This window comes from Homo sapiens, chromosome 11, assembly GCF_000001405.40.
Source record: "Homo sapiens chromosome 11, GRCh38.p14 Primary Assembly".
NCBI classification, from domain to species: domain Eukaryota; kingdom Metazoa; phylum Chordata; class Mammalia; order Primates; family Hominidae; genus Homo; species Homo sapiens.
Genome location: NC_000011.10, coordinates 5,221,732 through 5,235,722, shown reverse-complemented (window position 1 = coordinate 5,235,722; position 13,991 = coordinate 5,221,732). Strand labels below are relative to the sequence as shown.

General features: G+C 37.6%; 2 protein-coding genes across 2 annotated transcripts, besides 60 other annotated features; both read left to right on the top strand.

The window, feature by feature from the left end:
- Positions 1–1,290: part of a biological region, named in NCBI's record as "delta-globin 5' regulatory region", that runs on past the window's edge. NCBI's record gives its function as "regulatory_interactions: HBB | HBD | HBG1 | HBG2".
- Positions 18–400: an enhancer, noted in NCBI's record as "383 bp Sau3AI fragment in the pbeta-cat-delta383 construct; includes the entire pyrimidine-rich sequence and the GATA-1 binding site". NCBI's record gives its function as "enhances beta-globin promoter activity in transfected MEL cells" and the evidence as "EXISTENCE:reporter gene assay evidence [ECO:0000049][PMID:8654951]".
- Positions 19–527: a transcriptional cis regulatory region, noted in NCBI's record as "0.5 kb BsaBI-BsmI fragment removed in the delta transgene". NCBI's record gives its function as "facilitates the timing of but is not absolutely required for gamma-to-beta globin gene switching in transgenic mice" and the evidence as "EXISTENCE:transgenic organism evidence [ECO:0001131][PMID:9892636]".
- Positions 44–343: a sequence secondary structure, noted in NCBI's record as "DNA_sequence_secondary_structure; likely H-DNA structure that is sensitive to S1 nuclease digestion; includes a 250-bp region with >95% pyrimidines on the negative strand of the GRCh38 reference genome; binds to PYR complex". NCBI's record gives the evidence for it as "EXISTENCE:in vitro cleavage assay evidence [ECO:0001058][PMID:1717993]".
- Positions 48–56: a protein binding site, noted in NCBI's record as "GATA-1 footprint in pyr region". NCBI's record gives the evidence for it as "EXISTENCE:nuclease protection assay evidence [ECO:0001106][PMID:1717993]".
- Positions 236–334: an enhancer, noted in NCBI's record as "99 bp fragment in the pbeta-cat-delta99 construct; includes the PYR binding region but not the GATA-1 binding site". NCBI's record gives its function as "enhances beta-globin promoter activity in transfected MEL cells" and the evidence as "EXISTENCE:reporter gene assay evidence [ECO:0000049][PMID:8654951]".
- Positions 249–308: a protein binding site, noted in NCBI's record as "delta60 YY1-binding probe". NCBI's record gives the evidence for it as "EXISTENCE:protein binding evidence [ECO:0000024][PMID:9892636]".
- Positions 465–1,290: a promoter, noted in NCBI's record as "826 bp promoter fragment in the p-Ndelta-luc construct". NCBI's record gives its function as "promoter for delta-globin (HBD) gene" and the evidence as "EXISTENCE:reporter gene assay evidence [ECO:0000049][PMID:22641479]".
- Positions 794–1,250: a promoter, noted in NCBI's record as "-446 to +11 delta-globin promoter fragment". NCBI's record gives its function as "promoter for delta-globin (HBD) gene" and the evidence as "EXISTENCE:reporter gene assay evidence [ECO:0000049][PMID:1515647]".
- Positions 1,140–1,175: a transcriptional cis regulatory region, noted in NCBI's record as "wild-type delta-globin promoter region with a defective CACCC box and a partial EKLF-binding site; promoter activity can be upregulated by restoration of the CCAAT box or by insertion of CACCC motifs". NCBI's record gives its function as "reduces activity of the delta-globin (HBD) promoter compared to the equivalent region of the paralogous beta-globin (HBB) gene" and the evidence as "EXISTENCE:reporter gene assay evidence [ECO:0000049][PMID:8916973, PMID:9207479]".
- Positions 1,150–1,179: a protein binding site, noted in NCBI's record as "DNOR GATA-1-binding oligonucleotide". NCBI's record gives its function as "necessary for normal delta-globin promoter activity" and the evidence as "EXISTENCE:protein binding evidence [ECO:0000024][PMID:1515647]".
- Positions 1,162–1,167: a transcriptional cis regulatory region, noted in NCBI's record as "GATA-1 motif that shows impaired delta-globin promoter activity when mutated". NCBI's record gives its function as "necessary for GATA-1 binding and normal delta-globin promoter activity" and the evidence as "EXISTENCE:reporter gene assay evidence [ECO:0000049][PMID:1515647]".
- Positions 1,240–2,885, top strand: HBD (hemoglobin subunit delta). The gene is made up of 3 exons (NM_000519.4): positions 1,240–1,381; positions 1,510–1,732; positions 2,631–2,885. The coding sequence occupies exons 1-3, from the start codon at positions 1,290–1,292 to the stop codon at positions 2,757–2,759; spliced, it is 444 nt and encodes a 147-aa protein (NP_000510.1). The 5' UTR covers positions 1,240–1,289; the 3' UTR covers positions 2,760–2,885.
- Positions 1,358–1,396: a non allelic homologous recombination region, noted in NCBI's record as "sub-region HBD Lepore-Hollandia, recombines with sub-region HBB Lepore-Hollandia within the HBB recombination region". NCBI's record gives the evidence for it as "EXISTENCE:nucleotide sequencing assay evidence [ECO:0000219][PMID:2060774]".
- Positions 1,358–1,739: a biological region, named in NCBI's record as "HBD recombination region". NCBI's record gives its function as "recombination_partner: LOC106099062".
- Positions 1,512–1,569: a non allelic homologous recombination region, noted in NCBI's record as "sub-region HBD Lepore-ARUP, recombines with sub-region HBB Lepore-ARUP within the HBB recombination region". NCBI's record gives the evidence for it as "EXISTENCE:nucleotide sequencing assay evidence [ECO:0000219][PMID:23001912]".
- Positions 1,625–1,671: a non allelic homologous recombination region, noted in NCBI's record as "sub-region HBD Lepore-Baltimore, recombines with sub-region HBB Lepore-Baltimore within the HBB recombination region". NCBI's record gives the evidence for it as "EXISTENCE:nucleotide sequencing assay evidence [ECO:0000219][PMID:2060774]".
- Positions 1,682–1,739: a non allelic homologous recombination region, noted in NCBI's record as "sub-region HBD Lepore-Boston-Washington, recombines with sub-region HBB Lepore-Boston-Washington within the HBB recombination region". NCBI's record gives the evidence for it as "EXISTENCE:nucleotide sequencing assay evidence [ECO:0000219][PMID:2060774]".
- Positions 6,103–8,705: an origin of replication, noted in NCBI's record as "bGRep-P; NcoI fragment; assayed by quantitative PCR of lambda exonuclease-treated size-fractionated nascent strands; functions as an origin of replication in ectopic locations". NCBI's record gives the evidence for it as "EXISTENCE:nuclease protection assay evidence [ECO:0001106][PMID:15060158]".
- Positions 6,103–10,050: an origin of replication, noted in NCBI's record as "HindIII/EcoRI fragment; confers replication activity to a human artificial chromosome (HAC)". NCBI's record gives the evidence for it as "EXISTENCE:genetic transformation evidence [ECO:0005027][PMID:9892678]".
- Positions 6,103–13,557: a biological region, named in NCBI's record as "origin of replication at HBB". NCBI's record gives its function as "regulatory_interactions: HBB-LCR".
- Positions 6,395–7,195: a replication regulatory region, noted in NCBI's record as "Rep-P-1 (BamHI fragment)". NCBI's record gives its function as "important for replication origin activity" and the evidence as "EXISTENCE:nuclease protection assay evidence [ECO:0001106][PMID:15060158]".
- Positions 6,889–8,841: a meiotic recombination region, noted in NCBI's record as "meiotic double-strand break mapped by DNA meiotic recombinase 1 chromatin immunoprecipitation followed by single-stranded DNA enrichment and sequencing in the germ cells of some male individuals with PRDM9 A/A, PRDM9 A/B, and PRDM9 A/C genotypes". NCBI's record gives the evidence for it as "EXISTENCE:chromatin immunoprecipitation-seq evidence [ECO:0000229][PMID:25395542]".
- Positions 6,889–9,153: a biological region, named in NCBI's record as "HBB recombination region". NCBI's record gives its function as "recombination_partner: LOC106099063 | LOC106099064".
- Positions 7,097–9,127: an origin of replication, noted in NCBI's record as "region containing bidirectional origin of replication between H and I probe fragments; flanked by BamHI and BglII restriction sites; identified by hybridization of BrdU-labelled nascent strands with strand-specific probes". NCBI's record gives the evidence for it as "EXISTENCE:nucleotide analog incorporation evidence [ECO:0001107][PMID:8255298]".
- Positions 7,597–10,251: a replication regulatory region, noted in NCBI's record as "core replicator region (position 61100 to position 63754 of J00179)". NCBI's record gives its function as "required but not sufficient for replication origin activity in a transgene in an ectopic location" and the evidence as "EXISTENCE:nucleotide analog incorporation evidence [ECO:0001107][PMID:9703500]".
- Positions 8,357–8,737: an origin of replication, noted in NCBI's record as "hubetaPr1 amplicon; peak of nascent strand synthesis identified by competitive PCR of lambda exonuclease-treated nascent strands". NCBI's record gives the evidence for it as "EXISTENCE:nuclease protection assay evidence [ECO:0001106][PMID:10891496]".
- Positions 8,384–8,705: a replication regulatory region, noted in NCBI's record as "Rep-P-2 (NcoI/SnaBI fragment)". NCBI's record gives its function as "important for replication origin activity" and the evidence as "EXISTENCE:nuclease protection assay evidence [ECO:0001106][PMID:15060158]".
- Positions 8,589–8,633: a replication regulatory region, noted in NCBI's record as "Rep-P(AG)". NCBI's record gives its function as "contributes to replication origin activity" and the evidence as "EXISTENCE:nuclease protection assay evidence [ECO:0001106][PMID:15060158, PMID:16877501]".
- HBB (hemoglobin subunit beta) lies at positions 8,652–10,259 on the top strand. Its single transcript, NM_000518.5, has 3 exons — positions 8,652–8,793; positions 8,924–9,146; positions 9,997–10,259. The coding sequence occupies exons 1-3, from the start codon at positions 8,702–8,704 to the stop codon at positions 10,123–10,125; spliced, it is 444 nt and encodes a 147-aa protein (NP_000509.1). The 5' UTR covers positions 8,652–8,701; the 3' UTR covers positions 10,126–10,259.
- Positions 8,700–11,944: an origin of replication, noted in NCBI's record as "bGRep-I; NcoI fragment; assayed by quantitative PCR of lambda exonuclease-treated size-fractionated nascent strands; functions as an origin of replication in ectopic locations". NCBI's record gives the evidence for it as "EXISTENCE:nuclease protection assay evidence [ECO:0001106][PMID:15060158]".
- Positions 8,717–9,112: an origin of replication, noted in NCBI's record as "hbetaG amplicon; peak of nascent strand synthesis identified by competitive PCR". NCBI's record gives the evidence for it as "EXISTENCE:nuclease protection assay evidence [ECO:0001106][PMID:10891496]" and "EXISTENCE:nucleotide analog incorporation evidence [ECO:0001107][PMID:9703500]".
- Positions 8,717–13,557: an origin of replication, noted in NCBI's record as "IR (initiation region); spanning amplicons 59.8 to 65.6; identified by PCR analysis or hybridization of BrdU-labelled nascent strands with strand-specific probes". NCBI's record gives the evidence for it as "EXISTENCE:nucleotide analog incorporation evidence [ECO:0001107][PMID:7481774]".
- Positions 8,750–8,765: a nucleotide motif, noted in NCBI's record as "nucleotide motif; similarity to the predicted 16-mer PRDM9 C-type binding motif, CCNCNNTNNNCNTNNC".
- Positions 8,770–8,808: a non allelic homologous recombination region, noted in NCBI's record as "sub-region HBB Lepore-Hollandia, recombines with HBD Lepore-Hollandia within the HBD recombination region". NCBI's record gives the evidence for it as "EXISTENCE:nucleotide sequencing assay evidence [ECO:0000219][PMID:2060774]".
- Positions 8,928–9,081: a non allelic homologous recombination region, noted in NCBI's record as "sub-region HBB Lepore-ARUP, recombines with sub-region HBD Lepore-ARUP within the HBD recombination region". NCBI's record gives the evidence for it as "EXISTENCE:nucleotide sequencing assay evidence [ECO:0000219][PMID:23001912]".
- Positions 9,007–9,807: a DNaseI hypersensitive site, noted in NCBI's record as "the nucleotide coordinates are approximate for this feature". NCBI's record gives the evidence for it as "EXISTENCE:in vivo cleavage assay evidence [ECO:0001075][PMID:12397609]".
- Positions 9,039–9,085: a non allelic homologous recombination region, noted in NCBI's record as "sub-region HBB Lepore-Baltimore, recombines with sub-region HBD Lepore-Baltimore within the HBD recombination region". NCBI's record gives the evidence for it as "EXISTENCE:nucleotide sequencing assay evidence [ECO:0000219][PMID:2060774]".
- Positions 9,075–9,092: a non allelic homologous recombination region, noted in NCBI's record as "sub-region HBB Lepore-Kenya, recombines with sub-region HBD Lepore-Kenya within the HBG1 recombination region". NCBI's record gives the evidence for it as "EXISTENCE:nucleotide sequencing assay evidence [ECO:0000219][PMID:2060774]".
- Positions 9,096–9,153: a non allelic homologous recombination region, noted in NCBI's record as "sub-region HBB Lepore-Boston-Washington, recombines with sub-region HBD Lepore-Boston-Washington within the HBD recombination region". NCBI's record gives the evidence for it as "EXISTENCE:nucleotide sequencing assay evidence [ECO:0000219][PMID:2060774]".
- Positions 9,123–10,050: a replication regulatory region, noted in NCBI's record as "Rep-I-1 (PmlI/EcoRI fragment)". NCBI's record gives its function as "important for replication origin activity" and the evidence as "EXISTENCE:nuclease protection assay evidence [ECO:0001106][PMID:15060158]".
- Positions 9,133–9,649: a matrix attachment site, noted in NCBI's record as "beta-IVS2 SAR". NCBI's record gives its function as "associates with nuclear scaffold" and the evidence as "EXISTENCE:fractionation evidence [ECO:0000100][PMID:2559410, PMID:3208739]".
- Positions 9,133–10,049: an enhancer, noted in NCBI's record as "0.9 kb EcoRI-BamHI fragment spanning intron 2; region deleted in the H2beta-IVS2 construct". NCBI's record gives its function as "required for LCR activity by 5'HS3 along with the beta 3' enhancer in beta-gamma hybrid transgenes; increases inducibility of the beta-globin gene in transfected MEL cells" and the evidence as "EXISTENCE:deletion mutation evidence [ECO:0005510][PMID:3432265]" and "EXISTENCE:transgenic organism evidence [ECO:0001131][PMID:10807795]".
- Positions 9,133–10,813: an enhancer, noted in NCBI's record as "1.7 kb BamHI-PstI transgene fragment that includes intron 2 and exon 3 of the beta gene". NCBI's record gives its function as "activates an A-gamma-globin marker transgene in fetal liver and shows an additive effect with the beta 3' enhancer" and the evidence as "EXISTENCE:transgenic organism evidence [ECO:0001131][PMID:3478680]".
- Positions 9,133–11,943: a biological region, named in NCBI's record as "beta-globin gene 3' regulatory region". NCBI's record gives its function as "regulatory_interactions: HBB | HBB-LCR".
- Positions 9,210–9,459: a replication regulatory region, noted in NCBI's record as "delta((AG) and(AT)) region; includes RepI-1(AG)". NCBI's record gives its function as "contributes to replication origin activity" and the evidence as "EXISTENCE:nuclease protection assay evidence [ECO:0001106][PMID:16877501]".
- Positions 9,352–9,366: a transcriptional cis regulatory region, noted in NCBI's record as "triplex-forming bases of the beta-globin (L) tfRNA (5'-UUUUUUUUCUUCUCC-3' on minus strand)". NCBI's record gives its function as "forms DNA-RNA triplex with 5'HS2 of the HBB-LCR, resulting in reduced expression of the espilon- and gamma-globin genes in transfected K562 cells, and the gamma- and beta-globin genes in transfected HUDEP-2 cells" and the evidence as "EXISTENCE:cell transfection experiment evidence [ECO:0005606][PMID:30867287]".
- Positions 9,764–9,903: an enhancer, noted in NCBI's record as "active region_4325". NCBI's record gives its function as "activates an Ori minimal core promoter by ATAC-STARR-seq in GM12878 lymphoblastoid cells {active_cell/tissue: GM12878}" and the evidence as "EXISTENCE:reporter gene assay evidence [ECO:0000049][PMID:35858748]".
- Positions 9,883–10,382: a DNaseI hypersensitive site, noted in NCBI's record as "hypersensitive site that overlaps the 3' exon of the beta-globin gene; the nucleotide coordinates are approximate for this feature". NCBI's record gives the evidence for it as "EXISTENCE:in vivo cleavage assay evidence [ECO:0001075][PMID:6200877]".
- Positions 10,266–11,948: an origin of replication, noted in NCBI's record as "bGRep-E; EcoRV/SwaI fragment; assayed by quantitative PCR of lambda exonuclease-treated size-fractionated nascent strands; functions as an origin of replication in an ectopic location". NCBI's record gives the evidence for it as "EXISTENCE:nuclease protection assay evidence [ECO:0001106][PMID:16085752]".
- Positions 10,682–11,743: an enhancer, noted in NCBI's record as "1.06 kb BstNI fragment a". NCBI's record gives its function as "activates transcription of a G-gamma-globin promoter transgene in mouse fetal liver" and the evidence as "EXISTENCE:transgenic organism evidence [ECO:0001131][PMID:2828176]".
- Positions 10,783–11,282: a DNaseI hypersensitive site, noted in NCBI's record as "beta-globin 3' enhancer hypersensitive site; the nucleotide coordinates are approximate for this feature". NCBI's record gives the evidence for it as "EXISTENCE:in vivo cleavage assay evidence [ECO:0001075][PMID:6200877]".
- Positions 10,814–11,072: an enhancer, noted in NCBI's record as "0.26 kb PstI fragment in relevant transgenes". NCBI's record gives its function as "necessary for expression of the HBB gene in a YAC transgene in fetal liver and adult spleen; activates an A-gamma-globin marker transgene in fetal liver and shows an additive effect with an intron 2/exon 3 HBB enhancer element; required for LCR activity by 5'HS3 in beta-gamma hybrid transgenes" and the evidence as "EXISTENCE:transgenic organism evidence [ECO:0001131][PMID:8990180, PMID:3478680, PMID:10807795]".
- Positions 10,814–11,072: a replication regulatory region, noted in NCBI's record as "0.26 kb PstI fragment deleted in the deltaP construct; does not have origin activity by itself in a transgene". NCBI's record gives its function as "required but not sufficient for replication at the HBB IR origin" and the evidence as "EXISTENCE:nuclease protection assay evidence [ECO:0001106][PMID:16085752]".
- Positions 10,824–11,063: an origin of replication, noted in NCBI's record as "amplicon 7; peak of nascent strand synthesis detected by quantitative PCR of lambda exonuclease-treated nascent strands". NCBI's record gives the evidence for it as "EXISTENCE:nuclease protection assay evidence [ECO:0001106][PMID:16085752]".
- Positions 10,826–10,851: a protein binding site, noted in NCBI's record as "oligo A NF-E1-binding fragment". NCBI's record gives the evidence for it as "EXISTENCE:protein binding evidence [ECO:0000024][PMID:2461328, PMID:2911469]".
- Positions 10,832–11,943: an enhancer, noted in NCBI's record as "1.1 kb HpaII-XbaI fragment deleted in the GB-SH-E transgene". NCBI's record gives its function as "enhances expression of a G-gamma-beta hybrid transgene 25-fold in mouse embryonic blood cells" and the evidence as "EXISTENCE:transgenic organism evidence [ECO:0001131][PMID:2304460]".
- Positions 10,941–10,966: a protein binding site, noted in NCBI's record as "oligo B NF-E1-binding fragment". NCBI's record gives the evidence for it as "EXISTENCE:protein binding evidence [ECO:0000024][PMID:2461328, PMID:2911469]".
- Positions 10,990–11,019: a protein binding site, noted in NCBI's record as "oligo C NF-E1-binding fragment". NCBI's record gives the evidence for it as "EXISTENCE:protein binding evidence [ECO:0000024][PMID:2461328, PMID:2911469]".
- Positions 11,029–11,054: a protein binding site, noted in NCBI's record as "oligo D NF-E1-binding fragment". NCBI's record gives the evidence for it as "EXISTENCE:protein binding evidence [ECO:0000024][PMID:2461328, PMID:2911469]".
- Positions 12,196–12,404: a silencer, noted in NCBI's record as "fragment chr11:5244549-5244757 (GRCh37/hg19 assembly coordinates)". NCBI's record gives its function as "represses an EF-1alpha promoter that drives an FKBP-Casp9 reporter gene in an ReSE screen in HepG2 liver carcinoma cells {active_cell/tissue: HepG2}" and the evidence as "EXISTENCE:reporter gene assay evidence [ECO:0000049][PMID:32094911]".
- Positions 12,295–12,793: a matrix attachment site, noted in NCBI's record as "3'beta SAR; inferred minimal region flanked by DdeI and BglII restriction sites". NCBI's record gives its function as "associates with nuclear scaffold" and the evidence as "EXISTENCE:fractionation evidence [ECO:0000100][PMID:2559410, PMID:3208739]".

Sequence of the window (13,991 nt, the reverse complement as noted above, 5' to 3'; positions counted from 1 at the left end):
TTGAGTTTCTATTGATCCATATCACCACCAAAATTTGAACTGTCAGTCTTATCTCTTCTCTTGTCTCTTTTTTCCTCTTTTTTTTCCTTCCCTTCCCCTCTCTTCGTTTCTTTTCTCTCCTCTTCTCTTCTTTCCTCTCTTCCCTTCCCTTTCTCTTTCTCTTCCCTATCCCTTCTCCTCTCCTCTCCCCTCCTTTTTTCTCCTCTCCTCTCCATTATTTATTTTTCCTTCTTCTCCTCCATCCCTTCCATCCTCTCTCTTCCCCTCTTCCTTCCTTCCTTTCTCCATTTCTTCCTCCTCTTTCCTTCAATCCTTCCTTTTGGATATGCTCATGGGTGTGTATTTGTCTGCCATTGTGGCATTATTTGAATTCAGAAAAGAGTGAAAAACTACTGGGATCTTCATTCCTGGGTCTAATTCCACATTTTTTTTTAAGAACACATCTGTAAAAATGTTCTGTACTAGCATATTCCCAGGAACTTCGTTAAATTTAATCTGGCTGAATATGGTAAATCTACTTTTCACTTTGCATTCTTTCTTTAGTCATACCATAATTTTAAACATTCAAAATATTTGTATATAATATTTGATTTTATCTGTCATTAAAATGTTAACCTTAAAATTCATGTTTCCAGAACCTATTTCAATAACTGGTAAATAAACACTATTCATTTTTTAAATATTCTTTTAATGGATATTTATTTCAATATAATAAAAAATTAGAGTTTTATTATAGGAAGAATTTACCAAAAGAAGGAGGAAGCAAGCAAGTTTAAACTGCAGCAATAGATTTGTCCATTCCAACCTCTCAAAATTCCCTTGGAGACAAAAATCTCTAGAGGCAAAGAAGAACTTTATATTGAGTCAACTTGTTAAAACATCTGCTTTTAGATAAGTTTTCTTAGTATAAAGTGACAGAAACAAATAAGTTAAACTCTAAGATACATTCCACTATATTAGCCTAAAACACTTCTGCAAAAATGAAACTAGGAGGATATTTTTAGAAACAACTGCTGAAAGAGATGCGGTGGGGAGATATGTAGAGGAGAACAGGGTTTCTGAGTCAAGACACACATGACAGAACAGCCAATCTCAGGGCAAGTTAAGGGAATAGTGGAATGAAGGTTCATTTTTCATTCTCACAAACTAATGAAACCCTGCTTATCTTAAACCAACCTGCTCACTGGAGCAGGGAGGACAGGACCAGCATAAAAGGCAGGGCAGAGTCGACTGTTGCTTACACTTTCTTCTGACATAACAGTGTTCACTAGCAACCTCAAACAGACACCATGGTGCATCTGACTCCTGAGGAGAAGACTGCTGTCAATGCCCTGTGGGGCAAAGTGAACGTGGATGCAGTTGGTGGTGAGGCCCTGGGCAGGTTGGTATCAAGGTTATAAGAGAGGCTCAAGGAGGCAAATGGAAACTGGGCATGTGTAGACAGAGAAGACTCTTGGGTTTCTGATAGGCACTGACTCTCTGTCCCTTGGGCTGTTTTCCTACCCTCAGATTACTGGTGGTCTACCCTTGGACCCAGAGGTTCTTTGAGTCCTTTGGGGATCTGTCCTCTCCTGATGCTGTTATGGGCAACCCTAAGGTGAAGGCTCATGGCAAGAAGGTGCTAGGTGCCTTTAGTGATGGCCTGGCTCACCTGGACAACCTCAAGGGCACTTTTTCTCAGCTGAGTGAGCTGCACTGTGACAAGCTGCACGTGGATCCTGAGAACTTCAGGGTGAGTCCAGGAGATGCTTCACTTTTCTCTTTTTACTTTCTAATCTTACATTTTGGTTCTTTTACCTACCTGCTCTTCTCCCACATTTTTGTCATTTTACTATATTTTATCATTTAATGCTTCTAAAATTTTGTTAATTTTTTATTTAAATATTCTGCATTTTTTCCTTCCTCACAATCTTGCTATTTTAAATTATTTAATATCCTGTCTTTCTCTCCCAACCCCCTCCCTTCATTTTTCCTTCTCTAACAACAACTCAAATTATGCATACCAGCTCTCACCTGCTAATTCTGCACTTAGAATAATCCTTTTGTCTCTCCACATGGGTATGGGAGAGGCTCCAACTCAAAGATGAGAGGCATAGAATACTGTTTTAGAGGCTATAAATCATTTTACAATAAGGAATAATTGGAATTTTATAAATTCTGTAGTAAATGGAATGGAAAGGAAAGTGAATATTTGATTATGAAAGACTAGGCAGTTACACTGGAGGTGGGGCAGAAGTCGTTGCTAGGAGACAGCCCATCATCACACTGATTAATCAATTAATTTGTATCTATTAATCTGTTTATAGTAATTAATTTGTATATGCTATATACACATACAAAATTAAAACTAATTTGGAATTAATTTGTATATAGTATTATACAGCATATATAGCATATATGTACATATATAGACTACATGCTAGTTAAGTACATAGAGGATGTGTGTGTATAGATATATGTTATATGTATGCATTCATATATGTACTTATTTATGCTGATGGGAATAACCTGGGGATCAGTTTTGTCTAAGATTTGGGCAGAAAAAAATGGGTGTTGGCTCAGTTTCTCAGAAGCCAGTCTTTATTTCTCTGTTAACCATATGCATGTATCTGCCTACCTCTTCTCCGCAGCTCTTGGGCAATGTGCTGGTGTGTGTGCTGGCCCGCAACTTTGGCAAGGAATTCACCCCACAAATGCAGGCTGCCTATCAGAAGGTGGTGGCTGGTGTGGCTAATGCCCTGGCTCACAAGTACCATTGAGATCCTGGACTGTTTCCTGATAACCATAAGAAGACCCTATTTCCCTAGATTCTATTTTCTGAACTTGGGAACACAATGCCTACTTCAAGGGTATGGCTTCTGCCTAATAAAGAATGTTCAGCTCAACTTCCTGATTAATTTCACTTATTTCATTTTTTTGTCCAGGTGTGTAAGAAGGTTCCTGAGGCTCTACAGATAGGGAGCACTTGTTTATTTTACAAAGAGTACATGGGAAAAGAGAAAAGCAAGGGAACCGTACAAGGCATTAATGGGTGACACTTCTACCTCCAAAGAGCAGAAATTATCAAGAACTCTTGATACAAAGATAATACTGGCACTGCAGAGGTTCTAGGGAAGACCTCAACCCTAAGACATAGCCTCAAGGGTAATGCTACGATTAAACTCCAACAATTACTGAGAAAATAATGTGCTCAATTAAAGGCATAATGATTACTCAAGACAATGTTATGTTGTCTTTCTTCCTCCTTCCTTTGCCTGCACATTGTAGCCCATAATACTATACCCCATCAAGTGTTCCTGCTCCAAGAAATAGCTTCCTCCTCTTACTTGCCCCAGAACATCTCTGTAAAGAATTTCCTCTTATCTTCCCATATTTCAGTCAAGATTCATTGCTCACGTATTACTTGTGACCTCTCTTGACCCCAGCCACAATAAACTTCTCTATACTACCCAAAAAATCTTTCCAAACCCTCCCCCACACCATTTTTTATATTTTTATATTTTTCTTATTTATTTCATGCACACACACACACTCCGTGCTTTATAAGCAATTCTGCCTATTCTCTACCTTCTTACATGCCTACTGTGCCTCATATTAAATTCATCAATGGGCAGAAAGAAAATATTTATTCAAGAAAACAGTGAATGAATGAACGAATGAGTAAATGAGTAAATGAAGGAATGATTATTCCTTGCTTTAGAACTTCTGGAATTAGAGGACAATATTAATAATACCATCGCACAGTGTTTCTTTGTTGTTAATGCTACAACATACAAAGAGGAAGCATGCAGTAAACAACCGAACAGTTATTTCCTTTCTGATCATAGGAGTAATATTTTTTTCCTTGAGCACCATTTTTGCCATAGGTAAAATTAGAAGGATTTTTAGAACTTTCTCAGTTGTATACATTTTTAAAAATCTGTATTATATGCATGTTGATTAATTTTAAACTTACTTGAATACCTAAACAGAATCTGTTGTTTCCTTGTGTTTGAAAGTGCTTTCACAGTAACTCTGTCTGTACTGCCAGAATATACTGACAATGTGTTATAGTTAACTGTTTTGATCACAACATTTTGAATTGACTGGCAGCAGAAGCTCTTTTATATCCATGTGTTTTCCTTAAGTCATTATACATAGTAGGCACTGAGAACTCTTTATATCTGAATAAGATATTTAGGAACCACTGGTTTACATATCAGAAGCAGAGCTACTCAGGGCATTTTGGGGAAGATCACTTTCACATTCCTGAGCATAGGGAAGTTCTCATAAGAGTAAGATATTAAAAGGAGATACTTGTGTGGTATTCGAAAGACAGTAAGAGAGATTGTAGACCTTATGATCTTGATAGGGAAAACAAACTACATTCCTTTCTCCAAAAGTCAAAAAAAAAGAGCAAATATAGCTTACTATACCTTCTATTCCTACACCATTAGAAGTAGTCAGTGAGTCTAGGCAAGATGTTGGCCCTAAAAATCCAAATACCAGAGAATTCATGAGAACATCACCTGGATGGGACATGTGCCGAGCACACACAATTACTATATGCTAGGCATTGCTATCTTCATATTGAAGATGAGGAGGTCAAGAGATGAAAAAAGACTTGGCACCTTGTTGTTATATTAAAATTATTTGTTAGAGTAGAGCTTTTGTAAGAGTCTAGGAGTGTGGGAGCTAAATGATGATACACATGGACACAAAAAATAGATCAACAGACACCCAGGCCTACTTGAGGGTTGAGGGTGGGAAGAGGGAGACGATGAAAAAGAACCTATTGGGTATTAAGTTCATCACTGAGTGATGAAATAATCTGTACATCAAGACCCAGTGATATGCAATTTACCTATATAACTTGTACATGTACCCCCAAATTTAAAATGAAAGTTAAAACAAAGTATAGGAATGGAATTAATTCCTCAAGATTTGGCTTTAATTTTATTTGATAATTTATCAAATGGTTGTTTTTCTTTTCTCACTATGGCGTTGCTTTATAAACTATGTTCAGTATGTCTGAATGAAAGGGTGTGTGTGTGTGTGAAAGAGAGGGAGAGAGGAAGGGAAGAGAGGACGTAATAATGTGAATTTGAGTTCATGAAAATTTTTCAATAAAATAATTTAATGTCAGGAGAATTAAGCCTAATAGTCTCCTAAATCATCCATCTCTTGAGCTTCAGAGCAGTCCTCTGAATTAATGCCTACATGTTTGTAAAGGGTGTTCAGACTGAAGCCAAGATTCTACCTCTAAAGAGATGCAATCTCAAATTTATCTGAAGACTGTACCTCTGCTCTCCATAAATTGACACCATGGCCCACTTAATGAGGTTAAAAAAAAGCTAATTCTGAATGAAAATCTGAGCCCAGTGGAGGAAATATTAATGAACAAGGTGCAGACTGAAATATAAATTTTTCTGTAATAATTATGCATATACTTTAGCAAAGTTCTGTCTATGTTGACTTTATTGCTTTTTGGTAAGAAATACAACTTTTTAAAGTGAACTAAACTATCCTATTTCCAAACTATTTTGTGTGTGTGCGGTTTGTTTCTATGGGTTCTGGTTTTCTTGGAGCATTTTTATTTCATTTTAATTAATTAATTCTGAGAGCTGCTGAGTTGTGTTTACTGAGAGATTGTGTATCTGCGAGAGAAGTCTGTAGCAAGTAGCTAGACTGTGCTTGACCTAGGAACATATACAGTAGATTGCTAAAATGTCTCACTTGGGGAATTTTAGACTAAACAGTAGAGCATGTATAAAAATACTCTAGTCAAGTGCTGCTTTTGAAACAAATGATAAAACCACACTCCCATAGATGAGTGTCATGATTTTCATGGAGGAAGTTAATATTCATCCTCTAAGTATACCCAGACTAGGGCCATTCTGATATAAAACATTAGGACTTAAGAAAGATTAATAGACTGGAGTAAAGGAAATGGACCTCTGTCTCTCTCGCTGTCTCTTTTTTGAGGACTTGTGTGTGTGTGTGTGTGTGTGTGTGTGTGTGTGTTGTGGTCAGTGGGGCTGGAATAAAAGTAGAATAGACCTGCACCTGCTGTGGCATCCATTCACAGAGTAGAAGCAAGCTCACAATAGTGAAGATGTCAGTAAGCTTGAATAGTTTTTCAGGAACTTTGAATGCTGATTTAGATTTGAAACTGAGGCTCTGACCATAACCAAATTTGCACTATTTATTGCTTCTTGAAACTTATTTGCCTGGTATGCCTGGGCTTTTGATGGTCTTAGTATAGCTTGCAGCCTTGTCCCTGCAGGGTATTATGGGTAATAGAAAGAAAAGTCTGCGTTACACTCTAGTCACACTAAGTAACTACCATTGGAAAAGCAACCCCTGCCTTGAAGCCAGGATGATGGTATCTGCAGCAGTTGCCAACACAAGAGAAGGATCCATAGTTCATCATTTAAAAAAGAAAACAAAATAGAAAAAGGAAAACTATTTCTGAGCATAAGAAGTTGTAGGGTAAGTCTTTAAGAAGGTGACAATTTCTGCCAATCAGGATTTCAAAGCTCTTGCTTTGACAATTTTGGTCTTTCAGAATACTATAAATATAACCTATATTATAATTTCATAAAGTCTGTGCATTTTCTTTGACCCAGGATATTTGCAAAAGACATATTCAAACTTCCGCAGAACACTTTATTTCACATATACATGCCTCTTATATCAGGGATGTGAAACAGGGTCTTGAAAACTGTCTAAATCTAAAACAATGCTAATGCAGGTTTAAATTTAATAAAATAAAATCCAAAATCTAACAGCCAAGTCAAATCTGCATGTTTTAACATTTAAAATATTTTAAAGACGTCTTTTCCCAGGATTCAACATGTGAAATCTTTTCTCAGGGATACACGTGTGCCTAGATCCTCATTGCTTTAGTTTTTTACAGAGGAATGAATATAAAAAGAAAATACTTAAATTTTATCCCTCTTACCTCTATAATCATACATAGGCATAATTTTTTAACCTAGGCTCCAGATAGCCATAGAAGAACCAAACACTTTCTGCGTGTGTGAGAATAATCAGAGTGAGATTTTTTCACAAGTACCTGATGAGGGTTGAGACAGGTAGAAAAAGTGAGAGATCTCTATTTATTTAGCAATAATAGAGAAAGCATTTAAGAGAATAAAGCAATGGAAATAAGAAATTTGTAAATTTCCTTCTGATAACTAGAAATAGAGGATCCAGTTTCTTTTGGTTAACCTAAATTTTATTTCATTTTATTGTTTTATTTTATTTTATTTTATTTTATTTTGTGTAATCGTAGTTTCAGAGTGTTAGAGCTGAAAGGAAGAAGTAGGAGAAACATGCAAAGTAAAAGTATAACACTTTCCTTACTAAACCGACATGGGTTTCCAGGTAGGGGCAGGATTCAGGATGACTGACAGGGCCCTTAGGGAACACTGAGACCCTACGCTGACCTCATAAATGCTTGCTACCTTTGCTGTTTTAATTACATCTTTTAATAGCAGGAAGCAGAACTCTGCACTTCAAAAGTTTTTCCTCACCTGAGGAGTTAATTTAGTACAAGGGGAAAAAGTACAGGGGGATGGGAGAAAGGCGATCACGTTGGGAAGCTATAGAGAAAGAAGAGTAAATTTTAGTAAAGGAGGTTTAAACAAACAAAATATAAAGAGAAATAGGAACTTGAATCAAGGAAATGATTTTAAAACGCAGTATTCTTAGTGGACTAGAGGAAAAAAATAATCTGAGCCAAGTAGAAGACCTTTTCCCCTCCTACCCCTACTTTCTAAGTCACAGAGGCTTTTTGTTCCCCCAGACACTCTTGCAGATTAGTCCAGGCAGAAACAGTTAGATGTCCCCAGTTAACCTCCTATTTGACACCACTGATTACCCCATTGATAGTCACACTTTGGGTTGTAAGTGACTTTTTATTTATTTGTATTTTTGACTGCATTAAGAGGTCTCTAGTTTTTTATCTCTTGTTTCCCAAAACCTAATAAGTAACTAATGCACAGAGCACATTGATTTGTATTTATTCTATTTTTAGACATAATTTATTAGCATGCATGAGCAAATTAAGAAAAACAACAACAAATGAATGCATATATATGTATATGTATGTGTGTATATATACACACATATATATATATATTTTTTCTTTTCTTACCAGAAGGTTTTAATCCAAATAAGGAGAAGATATGCTTAGAACCGAGGTAGAGTTTTCATCCATTCTGTCCTGTAAGTATTTTGCATATTCTGGAGACGCAGGAAGAGATCCATCTACATATCCCAAAGCTGAATTATGGTAGACAAAACTCTTCCACTTTTAGTGCATCAACTTCTTATTTGTGTAATAAGAAAATTGGGAAAACGATCTTCAATATGCTTACCAAGCTGTGATTCCAAATATTACGTAAATACACTTGCAAAGGAGGATGTTTTTAGTAGCAATTTGTACTGATGGTATGGGGCCAAGAGATATATCTTAGAGGGAGGGCTGAGGGTTTGAAGTCCAACTCCTAAGCCAGTGCCAGAAGAGCCAAGGACAGGTACGGCTGTCATCACTTAGACCTCACCCTGTGGAGCCACACCCTAGGGTTGGCCAATCTACTCCCAGGAGCAGGGAGGGCAGGAGCCAGGGCTGGGCATAAAAGTCAGGGCAGAGCCATCTATTGCTTACATTTGCTTCTGACACAACTGTGTTCACTAGCAACCTCAAACAGACACCATGGTGCATCTGACTCCTGAGGAGAAGTCTGCCGTTACTGCCCTGTGGGGCAAGGTGAACGTGGATGAAGTTGGTGGTGAGGCCCTGGGCAGGTTGGTATCAAGGTTACAAGACAGGTTTAAGGAGACCAATAGAAACTGGGCATGTGGAGACAGAGAAGACTCTTGGGTTTCTGATAGGCACTGACTCTCTCTGCCTATTGGTCTATTTTCCCACCCTTAGGCTGCTGGTGGTCTACCCTTGGACCCAGAGGTTCTTTGAGTCCTTTGGGGATCTGTCCACTCCTGATGCTGTTATGGGCAACCCTAAGGTGAAGGCTCATGGCAAGAAAGTGCTCGGTGCCTTTAGTGATGGCCTGGCTCACCTGGACAACCTCAAGGGCACCTTTGCCACACTGAGTGAGCTGCACTGTGACAAGCTGCACGTGGATCCTGAGAACTTCAGGGTGAGTCTATGGGACGCTTGATGTTTTCTTTCCCCTTCTTTTCTATGGTTAAGTTCATGTCATAGGAAGGGGATAAGTAACAGGGTACAGTTTAGAATGGGAAACAGACGAATGATTGCATCAGTGTGGAAGTCTCAGGATCGTTTTAGTTTCTTTTATTTGCTGTTCATAACAATTGTTTTCTTTTGTTTAATTCTTGCTTTCTTTTTTTTTCTTCTCCGCAATTTTTACTATTATACTTAATGCCTTAACATTGTGTATAACAAAAGGAAATATCTCTGAGATACATTAAGTAACTTAAAAAAAAACTTTACACAGTCTGCCTAGTACATTACTATTTGGAATATATGTGTGCTTATTTGCATATTCATAATCTCCCTACTTTATTTTCTTTTATTTTTAATTGATACATAATCATTATACATATTTATGGGTTAAAGTGTAATGTTTTAATATGTGTACACATATTGACCAAATCAGGGTAATTTTGCATTTGTAATTTTAAAAAATGCTTTCTTCTTTTAATATACTTTTTTGTTTATCTTATTTCTAATACTTTCCCTAATCTCTTTCTTTCAGGGCAATAATGATACAATGTATCATGCCTCTTTGCACCATTCTAAAGAATAACAGTGATAATTTCTGGGTTAAGGCAATAGCAATATCTCTGCATATAAATATTTCTGCATATAAATTGTAACTGATGTAAGAGGTTTCATATTGCTAATAGCAGCTACAATCCAGCTACCATTCTGCTTTTATTTTATGGTTGGGATAAGGCTGGATTATTCTGAGTCCAAGCTAGGCCCTTTTGCTAATCATGTTCATACCTCTTATCTTCCTCCCACAGCTCCTGGGCAACGTGCTGGTCTGTGTGCTGGCCCATCACTTTGGCAAAGAATTCACCCCACCAGTGCAGGCTGCCTATCAGAAAGTGGTGGCTGGTGTGGCTAATGCCCTGGCCCACAAGTATCACTAAGCTCGCTTTCTTGCTGTCCAATTTCTATTAAAGGTTCCTTTGTTCCCTAAGTCCAACTACTAAACTGGGGGATATTATGAAGGGCCTTGAGCATCTGGATTCTGCCTAATAAAAAACATTTATTTTCATTGCAATGATGTATTTAAATTATTTCTGAATATTTTACTAAAAAGGGAATGTGGGAGGTCAGTGCATTTAAAACATAAAGAAATGAAGAGCTAGTTCAAACCTTGGGAAAATACACTATATCTTAAACTCCATGAAAGAAGGTGAGGCTGCAAACAGCTAATGCACATTGGCAACAGCCCCTGATGCATATGCCTTATTCATCCCTCAGAAAAGGATTCAAGTAGAGGCTTGATTTGGAGGTTAAAGTTTTGCTATGCTGTATTTTACATTACTTATTGTTTTAGCTGTCCTCATGAATGTCTTTTCACTACCCATTTGCTTATCCTGCATCTCTCAGCCTTGACTCCACTCAGTTCTCTTGCTTAGAGATACCACCTTTCCCCTGAAGTGTTCCTTCCATGTTTTACGGCGAGATGGTTTCTCCTCGCCTGGCCACTCAGCCTTAGTTGTCTCTGTTGTCTTATAGAGGTCTACTTGAAGAAGGAAAAACAGGGGTCATGGTTTGACTGTCCTGTGAGCCCTTCTTCCCTGCCTCCCCCACTCACAGTGACCCGGAATCTGCAGTGCTAGTCTCCCGGAACTATCACTCTTTCACAGTCTGCTTTGGAAGGACTGGGCTTAGTATGAAAAGTTAGGACTGAGAAGAATTTGAAAGGCGGCTTTTTGTAGCTTGATATTCACTACTGTCTTATTACCCTGTCATAGGCCCACCCCAAATGGAAGTCCCATTCTTCCTCAGGATGTTTAAGATTAGCATTCAGGAAGAGATCAGAGGTCTGCTGGCTCCCTTATCATGTCCCTTATGGTGCTTCTGGCTCTGCAGTTATTAGCATAGTGTTACCATCAACCACCTTAACTTCATTTTTCTTATTCAATACCTAGGTAGGTAGATGCTAGATTCTGGAAATAAAATATGAGTCTCAAGTGGTCCTTGTCCTCTCTCCCAGTCAAATTCTGAATCTAGTTGGCAAGATTCTGAAATCAAGGCATATAATCAGTAATAAGTGATGATAGAAGGGTATATAGAAGAATTTTATTATATGAGAGGGTGAAACCCTCAAAATGAAATGAAATCAGACCCTTGTCTTACACCATAAACAAAAATAAATTTGAATGGGTTAAAGAATTAAACTAAGACCTAAAACCATAAAAATTTTTAAAGAAATCAAAAGAAGAAAATTCTAATATTCACGTTGCAGCCGTTTTTTGAATTTGATATGAGAAGCAAAGGCAACAAAAGGAAAAATAAAGAAGTGAGGCTACATCAAACTAAAAAATTTCCACACAAAAAACAAAACAATGAACAAATGAAAGGTGAACCATGAAATGGCATATTTGCAAACCAAATATTTCTTAAATATTTTGGTTAATATCCAAAATATATAAGAAACACAGATGATTCAATAACAAACAAAAAATTAAAAATAGGAAAATAAAAAAATTAAAAAGAAGAAAATCCTGCCATTTATGGCAGAATTGATGAACCTGGAGGATGTAAAACTAAGAAAAATAAGCCTGACACAAAAAGACAAATACTACACAACCTTGCTCATATGTGAAACATAAAAAAGTCACTCTCATGGAAACAGACAGTAGAGGTATGGTTTCCAGGGGTTGGGGGTGGGAGAATCAGGAAACTATTACTCAAAGGGTATAAAATTTCAGTTATGTGGGATGAATAAATTCTAGATATCTAATGTACAGCATCGTGACTGTAGTTAATTGTACTGTAAGTATATTTAAAATTTGCAAAGAGAGTAGATTTTTTTTTTTTTTTAGATGGAGTTTTGCTCTTGTTGTCCAGGCTGGAGTGCAATGGCAAGATCTTGGCTCACTGCAACCTCCGCCTCCTGGGTTCAAGCAAATCTCCTGCCTCAGCCTCCCGAGTAGCTGGGATTACAGGCATGCGACACCATGCCCAGCTAATTTTGTATTTTTAGTAGAGACGGGGTTTCTCCATGTTGGTCAGGCTGATCCGCCTGCCTCGGCCACCCAAAGGGCTGGGATTACAGGCGTGAGCCACCGGGCCTGGCCGAGAGTAGATCTTAAAAGCATTTACCACAAGAAAAAGGTAACTATGTGAGATAATGGGTATGTTAATTAGCTTGATTGTGGTAATCATTTCACAAGGTATACATATATTAAAACATCATGTTGTACACCTTAAATATATACAATTTTTATTTGTGAATGATACCTCAATAAAGTTGAAGAATAATAAAAAAGAATAGACATCACATGAATTAAAAAACTAAAAAATAAAAAAATGCATCTTGATGATTAGAATTGCATTCTTGATTTTTCAGATACAAATATCCATTTGACTGTTTACTCTTTTCCAAAACAATACAATAAATTTTAGCACTTTATCTTCATTTTCCCCTTCCCAATCTATAATTATATATATATATATTTTAGATATTTTGTATAGTTTTACTCCCTAGATTTTCTAGTGTTATTATTAAATAGTGAAGAAATGTTTACACTTATGTACAAAATGTTTTGCATGCTTTTCTTCATTTCTAACATTCTCTCTAAGTTTATTCTATTTTTTTCTGATTATCCTTAATATTATCTCTTTCTGCTGGAAATACATTGTTACTTTTGGTTTATCTAAAAATGGCTTCATTTTCTTCATTCTAAAATCATGTTAAATTAATACCACTCATGTGTAAGTAAGATAGTGGAATAAATAGAAATCCAAAAACTAAATCTCACTAAAATATAATAATGTGATATATAAAAATATAGCTTTTAAATTTAGCTTGGAAATAAAAAACAAACAGTAATTGAACAACTATACTTTTTGAAAAGAGTAAAGTGAAATGCTTAACTGCATATACCACAATCGATTACACAATTAGGTGTGAAGGTAAAATTCAGTCACGAAAAAACTAGAATAAAAATATGGGAAGACATGTATATAATCTTAGAGATAACACTGTTATTTAATTATCAACCCAAAGTAGAAACTATCAAGGGAGAAATAAATTCAGTCAACAATAAAAGCATTTAAGAAGTTATTCTAGGCTGGGAGCGGTGGCTCACACCTGCAATTGCAGCACTTTGGGAGGCCTAGACAGGCGGATCACGACGTCAGGAGTTCAAGATCAGCCTGGCCAACATAGTGAAACCTCATCGCTACTAAAAATATAAAAACTTAGCCTGGCGTGGTGGCAGGCATGTGTAATCCCAGCAATTTGGGAGGCTGAGGCAGGAGAATCGCTTGATCCTGGGAGGCAGAGGTTGCAGTGAGCCAAGATTGTGCCACTGCATTCCAGCCCAGGTGACAGCATGAGACTCCGTCACAAAAAAAAAAGAAAAAAAAAAGGGGGGGGGGAGCGGTGGAGCCAAGATGACCGAATAGGAACAGCTCCAGTCTATAGCTCCCATCGTGAGTGACGCAGAAGACGGGTGATTTCTGCATTTCCAACTGAGGTACCAGGTTCATCTCACAGGGAAGTGCCAGGCAGTGGGTGCAGGACAGTAGGTGCAGTGCACTGTGCATGAGCCAAAGCAGGGCGAGGCATCACCTCACCCGGGAAGCACAAGGGGTCAGGGAATTCCCTTTCCTAGTCAAAGAAAAGGGTGACAGATGGCACCTGGAAAATCGGGTCACTCCCGCCCTAATACTGCGCTCTTCCAACAAGCTTAACAAATGGCACACCAGGAGATTATATCCCATGCCTGGCTCAGAGGGTCCTACGCCCATGGAGCCTCGCTCATTGCTAGCACAG